This window comes from Homo sapiens, chromosome 18 (assembly GCF_000001405.40).
Source record: "Homo sapiens chromosome 18, GRCh38.p14 Primary Assembly".
NCBI lineage: Eukaryota > Metazoa > Chordata > Mammalia > Primates > Hominidae > Homo > Homo sapiens.
In genome coordinates this window covers 69,896,445-69,910,028 of record NC_000018.10, presented here as the reverse complement: position 1 = coordinate 69,910,028, position 13,584 = coordinate 69,896,445, and the positions used below count along the sequence as shown (strand labels likewise).

General features: G+C 41.4%; 1 protein-coding gene across 9 annotated transcripts in view; it reads left to right on the top strand.

Annotated features, from left to right (window-relative positions):
* Positions 1–13,584, top strand: part of CD226 (CD226 molecule) — a 108,500-nt gene that overhangs the window by 51,745 nt on the left and 43,171 nt on the right. Inside the window, exon 1 of one of the 9 annotated variants that reach the window (XM_047437277.1) lies at positions 5,805–6,171. The exons of the other annotated variants lie outside the window; for them this stretch is intronic. The gene's annotated coding sequence lies outside the window, so the exon portion shown is untranslated. Of the gene's footprint in view, positions 1–5,804; positions 6,172–13,584 lie in introns of those variants that run through there. 9 annotated transcript variants of the gene reach the window in all.

The following is a 13,584-nucleotide window of genomic DNA, read 5'->3' as shown; positions in this document are numbered from 1 at the left end:
CATGTTCTAACTGTTAGCAAAGTGTACATACATGTCATTGATAATTTTTTTCTGTACATTATGTCATAAGCATTTCCAATACTGATAGACTGATCTTTACTTTTCATGATTTGCTTCACCTTGTTAAGTTTCTGGACATTTAGATTCTTTCCAATATTCTCTATTTCAACTAATGCTTGGTGTAGTCATCTTCACATATGTAATGCTTTACAGAATTATTGTTGCGTAGGATTAATTTGCAGACATTTCCTCTGACGTATAAAGAACACAAATTAAATGCTGAATACATGTATTATTATCTCCTTTAATTCCCAAATTTCATTGCAAATCCAAAATAAATACCATGGACACTCTTGTTTCCCTCTTGCTGTTAGTTTTTTCTGGGCTACTTGCTTTTCTGAATCGATGTGATGATTACAACTATCCCTGCTAATAGCTGTACTCACACTGGTTTTTTAATATTGTTATATTTTTCATTTTAACTTCATTATGGTTTGAACTAAATAATTTCAGCCTCTTCTACCTCAGGGAGTTGTGAGAAATACTGTTGATCTTTCTGTGGTTTGAAAAGCACCTGGAGCTCTTTGGAGAGTTGGTATTAAAACCATAAATTTGCAGTGCTGGCTGATGCTCAGGGGTGAGTGGTGCCAGGAGGGAAAGCTGCTGTGTGGGTTTCCATTTGGCAGAAGTGGGAATGGAGACCCAAACTCATGTAGGGCCTGGACTGGAAAATATTGCTCTGAGTTCCTGGTATCATTCACTAAATTTACAACACATCATCTTTGGAGATGTTTTCTCATCCATGTAGTCCCCCCAAAATTATTGGGAAACTTAATGTGCCTGGCATTTTGCTAAGATTAGACATACTGAAGGTACAATGTCTTTAAGGAGTGGATAGTTTCTTAGGGCAGGAAGTAAATGACAACAAATAAAAAACAACACAATAGAAGGTAGAGGTAAAACAGAGGAGGGAGTGGTTAGCCTATTTTGAAATGAGTAAGAAAATACTTCCTTGAAATAGGTGATGTCACAGAATAAGTGATATCACAGGATAAGTGGCATCACAGGATAAGGTGGCATCACAGGATAAATTTTGAAGGATAAATAGCAGTGTTCTTGGAATGAAGTGGAAGGATTATATGAAGGCATTCCAGAAGAAGAGATAGCTGATGCAAGATCATAAAGGTGAATAATGTTCTTGGGGAAACTGGAGTATATGGCAGATTCTAGTAGGAGATGAGAATGGAGACAAAGGCAAGAATAAAATCATATAGGATTTTGCTAAAGAACATGTGCTTTGTCCTGTAGTAGGAATAGGAAACGTCTGAACCTTTCAAAGTACAGCTGTAGCCTGATAAGATTTATATGTTAGTTATATAGTCTTTGATGCAATATGAATTGGAGGGAAAAGGGGCTACAATTAGAGTTCATTTTGACAACTATTTTAATAGTCCAGTTGAAAAAATGTAGGGAAGCCTCTAATAACCATATCTCAAATTTTCATTCTGTTTGGTTAAGAACACTGTTCATCATCTTTGTGTTAGTCATTCTTGCTGTTGTGCAGATTTCTTTGAGATTGTGCTTAACTCCTACAGATGTAGTAAATGAATTCTCAAGTATTTATTAATCATCCAATATGTACAAGCTATTATATAAGGTTTTTCCTGAGATTAGAAGGAGTACAATTCACCCTACAATTAACTGGCAAGCTTTTGAAACATGGTGGAGTAACAAGAAACAAACAAATATTTTAGAAATTATTTTTGCCTCCAAGGAGCTTGGCATAACTGAGAAAAGCAAGACATAGCCACAGAAATAGAAAACACGACAGTTTATATTTTGCAAGTGCAGTACTTTGTTATATCCAATTACACAAAAATGTGGAAAGAGAGAGCCGTAGGATTCAGTGGCTGAGAGATTACTGTGGGTAAGTCCTGGGAGAGAGATAGGTCAAGCTGGGACTTGAGAGAGTGATAGAGCCAAACAGAGAGTCAAAGACAGAGTCGGTTTTGTTTTGTTATTAATTTTTAAATTGTAATTTGACAATTTATAATTCTATAAATTTATAGGGTACAAACAGAGGTTATAACTTATAAATATAATGTGTAATAATTAAATCAAGCTAGTTCATGTATCCATCCTCTCAAATACTTAACTTTTTTTGTGGTGAGAATATTTGAAATTCACTCTCTAGAAATTTTGAAATGGGCAATACTCTCTTATTTATATGCATCAAGCTGTGTGACGGAGCTCAAAAAAGGAAGAATCCTATGTCTTCTGTCTGACTGAGGTTTTGTACCCTCTTAACCGTTATCCCCTCATTCTCCCAATCCCCAGCCACTGTAAGCACCATCCTACCCTCTGCTTCTATGAGAGAGATTTCATTGACTCAGGTCATGTTATCAAGAAGACATTCAAGGGCCAGGTGTGGTGGCACACACCTGTAATCCCAGCACTTTGGGAGGCCGAGGTGGGCGGACCACTTGAGATCAGGAGTTCGAGACCAGCCTGGCCAACATGGCAAAACCCCATCTCTACTAAAAATACAAAAAATTTAGCTGGGCATGGTGGTGTGTGCCTGTAATCCCAGTTACTCGGGAGGCTGAGGCAGCAGAATTGCTTGAACCCAGGAGGTGCTGAGTCAAGATACCATCACTGCACTCCAGCCTGGGCAACAGAGTGGGACTCCATCTGAAAAACAAACAAAAAAGACATTTAGGAATCTGGTTCCAGGCACACTGATGGAAATTTAGATTCTAGGCTCCAAGTACAATTTAGTAAAGTTCTACAATTGTGCTTGCTTTAGATTGCATTCACCAGAAGCAGTCCCTGAGAAGAGGATAAATGTGAAAAGGACCCATTAGGAAGTGTTCGCAGGGAAACCCATCAGGGGATCTGGATTGGAAAGGGAAGGAGAGATCCAGCAAGGGCACAGGATCCAGCGAAGTCTAGGGAAGCTGCCTGGTCAGGAAAAGCAAACTCTACCAGGGTCAGTCACTGGATCAGGGTCCCTTGATCAGTGTGTGCATTCTCAGGCAGGCTCCAGCCACCCTGGGCAGTGCTCCAACCTAGCGGGGCAGGTGCTGGCTGTTAGGGGAGAAGAGAGCACAGAAGCTGGGGTGCTTCAAGAAGGCAGAAAGGTCCCAGGAGGTGTCCGTAGAGCCTGACAGCATCTGCTCACTGTCCGAGTCAAGCCCGGCTCCTGCTCCATTTTTATGGAGTTCCCTGCATTGCAGGGTGTTTGGAACTTATTGCTTAGCGAAACCCAAGCAAAGATTTCATCTTTCAGTTCTTCCCATTCGTCATTTGCCATTTTCCCTTACAACGAACGTGAATATTGTCTGAAACTCGAAGTCCTCCAAGAAATCCTCACCTTTCTTGCCTGCGGCCAGTTAAAGCGTGAAATATTTTGCTAGGCAAAATAGGGCTCATATTCACATTTTCAGGAGAGAGCCATAAGGGTGAATTTTTAGTTTGCTTTTCTTTGAGTCCTGTTGCTATTCCTGACGAGATTTTTGCAGCGCTGAGCAAGACCAGAGGACCTTGTGTTCTCCTTTCCCTACAGAAAATGGCTTCTATTTCATAGGTCATGTCTTTTGCCTGCAGAAATTTGCAGAAATTATCTTCCAATTTTCAGAGCAATTTTAATTGGATAGGAATCACACTGTTAGCAATGGTGAACCTCTGATTTCCTGAGCAGTGTGTTTTAAAACTTAGTTTTAGAATTAACTTAATTTTATTACATCTTTTTTTTCAATGGAAGTCAAAATATGTAAGTTCACATCTAGGCGTATATAGTATGTGTAGAGTACATTGTGAGGGTGTGCAGGTACTGTTTCTTGGTTTCCCATTTCTAACATTATATCAGTTGGTTCTTAGTCATTTTTCATATGTCATGCATCACAAATGGTACTTATTTGTTCTCCACAAAGCCATCTGGAAATACCAAAGAAATGTAATGAAGTAGATACTAAAATAGTGACATGGTCAGAAAATATGAGAAGAGGAAGGAAATTGAACCTGGAGTAGATGCTCTAAAGGCATCAAACTTATGCAATCGAACAGCTTAAGTTTGGAGTCCTAAATAGATTTTCTTCTGGCAAATACCCTTGTGTTTGGTGAGAGAATCTTTGACAGACCTTGGTGAGCACCGTCGGGCAATAGCTGCTTCTGAAACTCACAGCTCTGTCTCTTTGGGTCTCTGCAGATGCCATCAGGGCCTCAGTGGGGAATTTCTACAGGCTCTCTTTGTGCTTTCATCACTTTGTTCTTTGGAGGACTTATCGTCTTTTTACAGCAATTATCTGCTTGTGTGTCTCTCCCCTAACCCAGTCTGTGTTTTATTTACACCCAGTAATCTTTGTGGATGAAGGAATGAATGTTGAATGAATAAAGGAAGGAAAAATAAAGGAGGTAAAATTTCACCGCCTCTGGTTTGCAGTCCATCTTTCTGCATGAGTCTCCCACCAATCCCGCACTTCCACTCACTCTCCTTCTCTGCCCTCTGCCCCGCGGTGCACTCACCTTGGCAGGGACAAGGCTAGTTCTGGGCTCTCCTCTCTCTCCTTTGCCACAGCAAGTCTATTGCTGGCCACTCTCCTGTGGGAAACATCTTCCTTGCTTTCTACTTGGAAAACAATCTAATGGACAATTTCACACTAATGTGTTGGTGCCTGCCGGGAATTGAAAATTTTATATGCATTTTAACAAGGACAAGTGCAGAAATTGATTTCTAATTATAAGAGTTAAGGCATCAGAAAATAAGCTATCTAGGAGCAGAGGCATCCTTGGAGCTGATGTTGCCTCTGAGATCCTGCCCTGCTGCAGGGTGGAAAAGAAAACTCTGGCTGTCACCGGAGTCCCTTCTCAGGGCTGGTTTGAGACTGGCTCCCTAGACGCCCTGCCTAGGTAAGAATGTCCTGCCATTCACAGCTGGGTGACTTATTTGTGGGGACTAAATGCACTAGCTTAGGTAATGCATTTAATGCTGGCACTTAGTAAGGACTCGTTCAAGGCTTATTATTTTACTTTAAAAATATACTGAAAATATTTTTAAGTATATGGGACAAAATGCTTAATGTAGTCTCCAGGGACCATCACTAACAATCTATTCTCTAGTACAGAATCATTAGAGATGGTGTTAATCTCTTGATGTCTTTTTCTGTTAAAAACCTGCCATGCAGAAAGTCTACATTAAATTGTCTAACCTGGGGGGCCAATTGGTAACATTTTAGTAGAAGAAACAGACCAATGCTCTTGGGCATTTTATTTTTTGGTTTTATGAGACCTCAGAGATGTACTACCTATATTTAAAATTCTTATATCCCATTAGTCAGTAATTTTTCTGGTTGAGAGAAACTGCAGAATGGCTCAAAAGTTTGACTTTTCCATGTGATTCAGCAAATCTTATGATACTGACTATAATAAAAACATCATTCTCATTGTACCATGGTGGAGAGATTGAAAGTTATTTTTTTTAACAATTAGAACCTGAACAAACATTACACCAAGGGGACCCACGGTTACCTTTCAGGAGCCAATCTCAAGATTCTGGAGCTCCACGGAGCTGCCCCTGGAGGCAGCCTGGGCTCTGAAGCTGGGGAGGCCGGTGGTCTCAGCAGTTGCTTTGACTCCTGGGTAATCTGAATCACAAAGCTGCCGGGGCCTGCATTGCAAGTCCTTTGCTGTTCAGTGCTTAGACAGGGGAATCGCTCTTTGGACATACTGCAAATCATCTCTTAATATGGATTTTCTGGGCTGAATCCTGATTTGCCATGCAGGACACGCAGCCTGAATCTAGTCCCTTCATTTTTTTATTTCCACAAATGGCCTTGCCTGGCTTTCCTTCATGATGGCTTTGTCGGGTTGTGTTTTTATCTCTTTATTGTAACTCACTCTTCCCACTTTATCTGTGCCTTTCAGTTAAGCGGTCTTTTAGCTTATTTTTTATCTTGTTTGGTCCTTTACCTTTTATCTGCACTTTAGATGAAAGACAGAAAATGGCAACGTGTGGGAAGCAGTGTTGTGAAGACGGCCGATTTTCTCAGCAGGATGGACTTGCTGCTTCTGATGGGTGCTGGCGAGGCCCAGACTGTACCCAAGATGTCGTCCTGATGGTCCTTACTCCCTATTAGTGTCCTAGAGCTGCTGGCACATGATACCAAAAGCTGGGTAACTTAACAGAAATGTGTTGTCTTGCAGTTTGAAGTCCAAAGTGAAGGTATCAGCAGGGTTGGTTCCCTCTGGGGGTTGCAAGGAGAGGTCTCACCTAGCTTCTGGCAATTTCTGGCAATCTTTGGCCTTCCTTGGCTCGTGGAAGCATCAACCCAATCTCTGCATTCATCTTCACATGGCGTTCTGCTTGTATTCATGCCTGTGTCAGAATTTCCCCTTTTTATAAGGACACGGTCATATTGGATTAGGGGCCACCCTATTCCAGGATGACTTCATGTTAACTAATTGTATCTGCAACAGCCCTATTTCCAAATCAGATCAGGTTGTGAAGTACTGGAGGCTAGGACTTCACCATAGGAATGTTGGGGGACACAATTCCACCTGTAACATCCCCAAACTTGGCCATCTGGGAACATTGCAGCTTTTTAGAGAAATGCCATCCAATACTGTCATTGCTGTCTATGTTTGAAATGAATGCACACAGGGAGTCTACAGTGTAGGCAGGAGCTTGCATTCTCTTTCTGGGAATGCTGATGCGTTCTAGGGAAGAGGCTTCTGTTTCTATTCTGCTTGAAGCTGCCTGACAGCTCAGTTCAGTGTCCACCACGACTGTCTTTTTCACTTTTTGGCTGTCACAGCCAGAACTATGAGGCAGGCAAAGGCATCCTTGGAAAATTCTGCCTTTTGTGTCTGTGTTTCTCCTTCTGTCCTCAGTATGTCCTCCCACACTGCATGCCCTATGAGCTTCAAAAGTGCCATTTTTCCACTTTCTGGACTTTGTTGCTTGCTTGTAACTGGGAACTTGCCTTTCTATTTCTTTTGCTTGCTTATTTTTGAGAACTTTATCTCAGGCACTTTAGGAGACCTCCTTAGTCATCATGCAGTCAACATTTCATTTTGCATTTATTTGGGTGACTAGTAAGAGTTTGTAGAAAAGTTCTTAATTGAGCATATTCATAGTCTAGGCACAGTTGGGAATACGTGAAGCTACTGGAGCTACTACTATCATCATTTCTAATTAGCTAGTGTAATAATAGTGCTCCTGCAGATGGCTTAGGGCAATGCTGGGCTGTTTAATTTTTAGTCTATTTGAAGCATCGTAAGAACAAGTTATCGTCTCGTGCTTTAGAAACCCTGGGGAGAGGTCTGACTGAGCAGGCGCTATTGATTTGCACTTGATCTGCACCTAAGAGATGGTTGAACAAGGAGAGTAGATAGGCTCACTCAGCGATGGTGAGTAGACAGGGAAGGGCAGTGGACTCCTGGGGGCACAACACACATTTTTTTTTAGGGACAAGCAGAAGAAGAGAAAGCATGAAGGAGATAGCAGAGGGAGGTCAGAAAGGAGAGAGGAGAGGCAGGCAAGTGCAATGTCACGGAAGCCAAGGGGTAGAGTATTTCCAGGAGGGCTGGACATCCAGCATTCAGGTCAAGAACACTGATGACATTTGCAGTCTTGGTAGAAGGGTGGAAATGGATGCTCGATTGTGTCGAAGCACACATGGGAAAGGGTGAGGCCGAGCAGGATGGGAACCCACTCCTGGAATTTTGAATGAATAGGGAAGAAGAAACAAGGACTGGATGGCGCCAAAAGGTCCAAAGTTGGTTTTCAGGAATGGGAGAAAGATCCCGTTTAGAGGTGAGAGAGAGAACAGTCCACTTAGAATTGGAGGTTAAAGATACAGGAGAGAGTTTAGCATTTGTGGTGTTCTGGCATGAAAAATGTATGAGCTTTAAAACCAAATTAGTTTCTTGCGTTTCTGATTCTGTTCTTTGCCAGCTCAGCTCTTTGGGAAAGCTACTTCAGTATATTTATTTTTTCAACTGTGAAACAGGCACATTAATACTGATTGGATGTTATTGTTAGGATTAGAGATTGGGTGTGTGAAGTACCTTTCACAAGCAGGGACTCCAATTTAGGTTCCTTCTCTTGCTTCTCAAATCTTGTACTAACAAATACTTTTTTTTTTTTTTTTGAGTCAGAGTCTTGCTCTGTCGCCCAGGCTGGAGTGCAGTGGTGCGATCTCGGCTCACTGCAAGCTCTGCCTCCCGGGTTCACGCCATTCTTCTGCCTCAGCCTCCTGAGTAGCTGGGACTACAGGCACCTGCCACCACGCCCGGCTAATTTTTTGTATTTTTAGTAGAGACGGGGTTTCACCATGTTAGCCAGGATGGTCTTGATCTCCTGACCTCGTGATCTGCCTGCCTCGGCCTCCCAAAGTGCTGGATTACAGGTGTGAGCCACTGTGCCCGGGCACAAATAAATACTTTTAAAGCTTTTTTAATGGAAGTTTCAAACATATACAAAAATAGAAAGAATAGCATAATCAGTTCCCCTGTGACCAGTATATAGCTTCGCCGACTATCAAGTTTGGGTCAGTGTTATTGTTCTCTATTTCTCACACTCTCTCTTTCCCTTGATTAATTTGAAGCAAATTCCAGCCATTAAGTCATCTCATCAATAAATATTTTAGCCTGAATCTCAAAAGATGAGTTTTCTTTTTAACATAAACATGATACCATCATTACCTTCACCCCTCACAAAACAGCAATAATTTCTTAAAATTATTAAGTGTCTACTTTGCATTTCTCCAGTTCTATGAATTTTTCCTTTTTAAGTTCCACACATTGTTACTGTGTAATACCTCCCTTTAACCTGTAGGTTGATTCCTCTCCACCTTTCATTTTTTTGTTGTTGTTGTCACCTTGAGTTTTTCATATTCCCGTGGGCTGCTTTCCCATGGTGGCATTTGATACGTTTCTCTGCTCTTTGCAGTTCTGTAAGTTGGTGGTTAGATTTGGAGGCTTGATTAGCATCAGGTTTGATTATTTTGACAAGGCTATGACTTCCAAGGTGGTACTGTGGAAACATAAATGGCATTTGTGAATTTGCAGACACTGAGGATTGTTGCCTAGAACTCTCAATTCGTTTAGGCATGACTAATACTATTTTAAATATATTTCTTAATATTAGGGTTATTATAGATGTAAATCTCCCCCAAAATCAATAAAAATACATGCACATTGAGTGCAAATGAATTGCAAATTAATTTTTTCAAGTGTTTAAAGTCAGAAATACAGTTTTATTTTATTAGAAATTTTTTTTTTTTTTTTTTGAGACGGAGTCTCGCTCTGTCGCCCAGGCCGGACTGCGGACTGCAGTGGCGCAATCTCGGCTCACTGCAAGCTCCGCCTCCCGGGTTCACGCCATTCTCCTGCCTCAGCCTCCCGAGTAGCTGGGACTACAGGCGCCCGCCACCGCGCCCGGCTAATTTTTTGTATTTTTAGTAGAGACGGGGTTTCACCTTGTTAGCCAGGATGGTCTCGATCTCCTGACCTCGTGATCCGCCCGCCTCGGCCTCGCAAAGTGCTGGGATTACAGGCGTGAGCCACCGCGCCCGGCCAGAAAAATTTTTAAAAAAACTTTTAGGTTTGTGGGTACATGTGAAGGTTTGTTGCATAGGTAAATATGTGTCACAGGGGTTCATTGTACATATTATTTCATCACCAGTTATTAAGCTCAGTAACTAAGAGTTCTCTTTTCTGCTTCTCTCCCTCCTCCCACCCTCCGCTCTCAACTAGACCCAGTGTCTGTTGTTTCCTTCTTTATGTTCCTAACTTCTTATCCTTTAGCTCCCATTTGAAAGTGAGAACATGTGGTATTTGGTTTTCAATTCCTGCATTAGTTTACTGAGGATAATAGCCTCCAGCTGCATCCATGTTCCCACAAAACATATGATCTCATTCTTTTTTATGGCTGCATAGTATTCCATGATGAATATGTAACACATTTTCTTTATCCCATCTGTCACTGATGGACGTTTAGGTTGATTTCATGTCTTTGCTATTGTGATTAGTGCTGCAGTGAACATTCATGTACATATGTGTCTTTATAGTGGGATGATTTATATTCCTCTGGGTATATGCCCAGGAATGGGATTGCTGGGTCAAATGGTAGTTCTGCTTTTATCTCTTTGAGGAATTGCCATACTGCTTTCCACAATGGTTGAATTAATTTACACTCCCACCAACAGTGTATAAGTGTTCCCTTTTCTCTGCAACCTCACCAGCATCTGTAATGTTTTGCCTTTTTAGTAATAGCCATTCTGACTGGTATGAGATGGTGTCTCATTGTCATTTTGGTTTGCCTTTCTGTAATGATGAGTGATATTGAGCTTTTTGTCATATGCTTGTTGGCCACGTATATGTCTTCTTTTGAGAAGTGTCTGTTTGTGTCCTTTACCCACTTTTTAATGGGGTCGTTTTCCTCTTGTAAATTTGCTTAACTTCCTTATAGATGCTGGATATTAGACCTTTGTCAGATGCATAGTTTGCAAATATTTCCTCCCATTCTTTAGGTTGGCAAATTTTTTATCCAAAAAATATTGATTGACTTCTCTACTTTATGCCAAGCATGGTTCTAGGTGCTAAGTACAGAGCAGTGTAAAATGGTCTAGCTATACAGAGGCTTGGGTTTACGAAGCTGACAGTAAAATGACTCAGGGTTTTGTGAAGTGGGTGAAGGATTTTGCAGAGCTGCTCAAACTGCATATGCAGAACTGTTGACCAGTGAGGATGGTGAGGAGGACAGGTCAGTAGCCAGGGAGGCGCTAGTGGGCAGGGGCAGTGGCATGATGTGAAGATGTACCCAGCAATGTTTGGGGTACCCAGGACATGAGCAGTGGTTGGAAAAGTGATGAAGCACTGAAATAATTTCCAAGGATGATTTGTGGTCAAGCCAGAGAAGCCACATACAAAATAGAGAATATTTAATCATGATATCCTGCAATAAAAATCATGGGAAAACAACACAGTCTATTCAATGTTTATTCTAAGTATTAATACGTAGCTACATATAAGTATAAGCTGGTTTTCATTATTTGTATTTGTTTTATTGAAATCAAATTTTTTTCTTCCCAATTAACTACGACATTTTGGTCTGTTTCACGTGAATCCACTTTCCAATTCCAAGTTCATCAGGATCCCACGGTTCTCTTGTTTGTGTGGGCTCTTTCTGGCAGTTCTTTTCAAGGTCATTTTGAGCTGCCTTCCACTGAGCTTTGCAGGAAGAGCCTGTGGTCTGAGAAGCCACAAGCAATATCTGAGGCAAGGCAGGTTTGGCCGACCTCGTAATAGGTCTTGATTTTCATCTAACACCAATCAGTTACTCTGTTTGTCAGGAAAGGTTAATCAGGGGCTACTCTGAGCTTCTGAACCACCTGGCTCTAGGGTTGGGAACCACTTCTTTCACCTCCAGGCTGAGTCTATTGAGAGGCGGGTCTAGGTCCTCACATGGAGCCTCTGCTGTAACCTCCCTGCACTTTGCTCCCCAAAGACAGCTGCATCCCCTCTAGGATTTTCCCCATTGCTTCCTGCATTGTCCTTTGTGAAAATGCAGACACGGCTATGAGTAGACCCCTGTTTCTACCTGAGTCGGCAGGTTCACGGGGGCCTGACAGCATGGTTTTGGTTAGATAGGCAGACAAAGGAAACTCCTGAGATTGGACGGGGCGGCATCCAGAGAGAAGAAGAAGAAAAACACAAAACAGTTGTGCGTGTGAGCACTGAGGACACGCATTCACGCTGCCTCTTACTTCCCAGGGACCAGAAGGGCTCACATGAAAGTCGATTTCTCCTCCTTTTTTTCATTTCTTTTATGTTCTTTCATTTCTCCACATGGTGTGCTAGCATCTGATTTTATGTTGTCACGCATTTCCTTCTTTTCTCACGTCTTCCTTTCCCTGTTTTAATTTTTATTTTAATTTTCCTTTTGTTTCTTTTAAGCTTTTATTTCCTTTTTTCCCTTTTTTAATGAATTTTCTTCCTTTGCTTTTCTTTCTTCCCCTTTTCTTGTGTTGCTTTATTACTTAGAGACGAAATGTTTTCCGGGTGTGTGTTATGTGGGTAAAGTGCTACCTTTGGTAAACGGTTGTACAGAGGAGAAAGCTGGAGTGCTGTGGTTTTCTTTTTACAACATTTTGACACATGGAACCGCATGCTGAAGATGAGAAGCTAGTTTTTGGTGCGGCTGAAACTATCGTAGCCATGATATTCTAGTTCAATAGATGGCAAATCTTACTGCACTTTAGACTTGCTTTCATTCTCTCTTTCGAAATGTGACATCTCTTTTGTTTCTCTGTCTCCTTTCCTTCCTTTTTTCTTCCTCCCTCCTTTTTTCTTTTTCTCTCTTCTTTTTCTCCTTCCCTCCTTCCTTTCTCTCTTTCTCTATTTCTTTTTTCTTTTGTTTGTATGCCAAGACAATGGCTCCTGGGCCAGTCCTGAGTGAAACTGTCACATAGTTGAAGTGACAGATGACTTCCCACTTTTTGCATTTCTCCCTTAGTGCCAGAGAGTTTTGTGACATCATTACTGCCCAGGCCTCACTCTACTGAAATAGCAGGTCAGGATTTGTTGGCATTAGTGATGCCATCAGAAGAAAGAAGGTGTTCATCACTAATAAATAGATCCACTTGTTACCTTGCTGGGTTATCTTAATTTTAAGAAAGAGTTACCACAGTTTATTCTTTAGATCGGGTTCCCAAACTTTTTGGTCTCAAGACCCCTTTATGCTATTTTAAAAATTACTGAAGGCCCTCAGGGAGTGTTTGTTTATGTACGCTATATCTGTCATGTTTACTGTATTAGAAATCAATATTGAGCAAAATTTAAAACACAAGAATTTTCAAGCATGCATACCACTAGCTGGCAGAGCCTCTGGAAATATCTACTGTATACCTGTGAGAGAACTGGAGTGAAGAGGGGGAATTTCCTCTCAATATCACTAGGAAAATAGATTTGAACTGGCATATCCCCTAAAGGGACACAGAGATGCCCAGGGCCCCCAAACACACTCTAAGGACCATGGACTTAGATATTTAGTGACAATTACTGAGTACTTTATGGTAGGAATTCCAGAAATGGTGTGAGGAAGGTGGGAGAATACTGGACTTTCATGGTATCAAGAATTGATACCACATGTGGGGCCCTACTCTACCCATGTGTAAGACAACCCTGTATATCTGAAGAATGAGATCATGTGTATATTCAGTGAGAATGATTTGGTATCTTTTTCATAACTGTCAGAATCTTAGCCAGAATGATTATAACCTGAACATTTGATACTGTAGGTCAGTGTCAGAGACACCAGCCCAGCATTATTGCCTAACAGTCTCTTTGTAAAATTCAGCCTCTTGATATGATACCAAGAAAAGCACCAGGGGTTTTGGCTGTGTTTCTCACTACATGGTTAACCAAGTAACACTTATGGAACTATGTGTGAACAATCATATCCTCTTTTCTATTTATCTCCCGGACTTAAAAACAAAAAACAAAAAACAAAAAAAACCCTTTCTCTTACAAGAATGTGTCATTCACAACTGGGTGCGGTGGCTCATGCCTGTAATCCCAGCA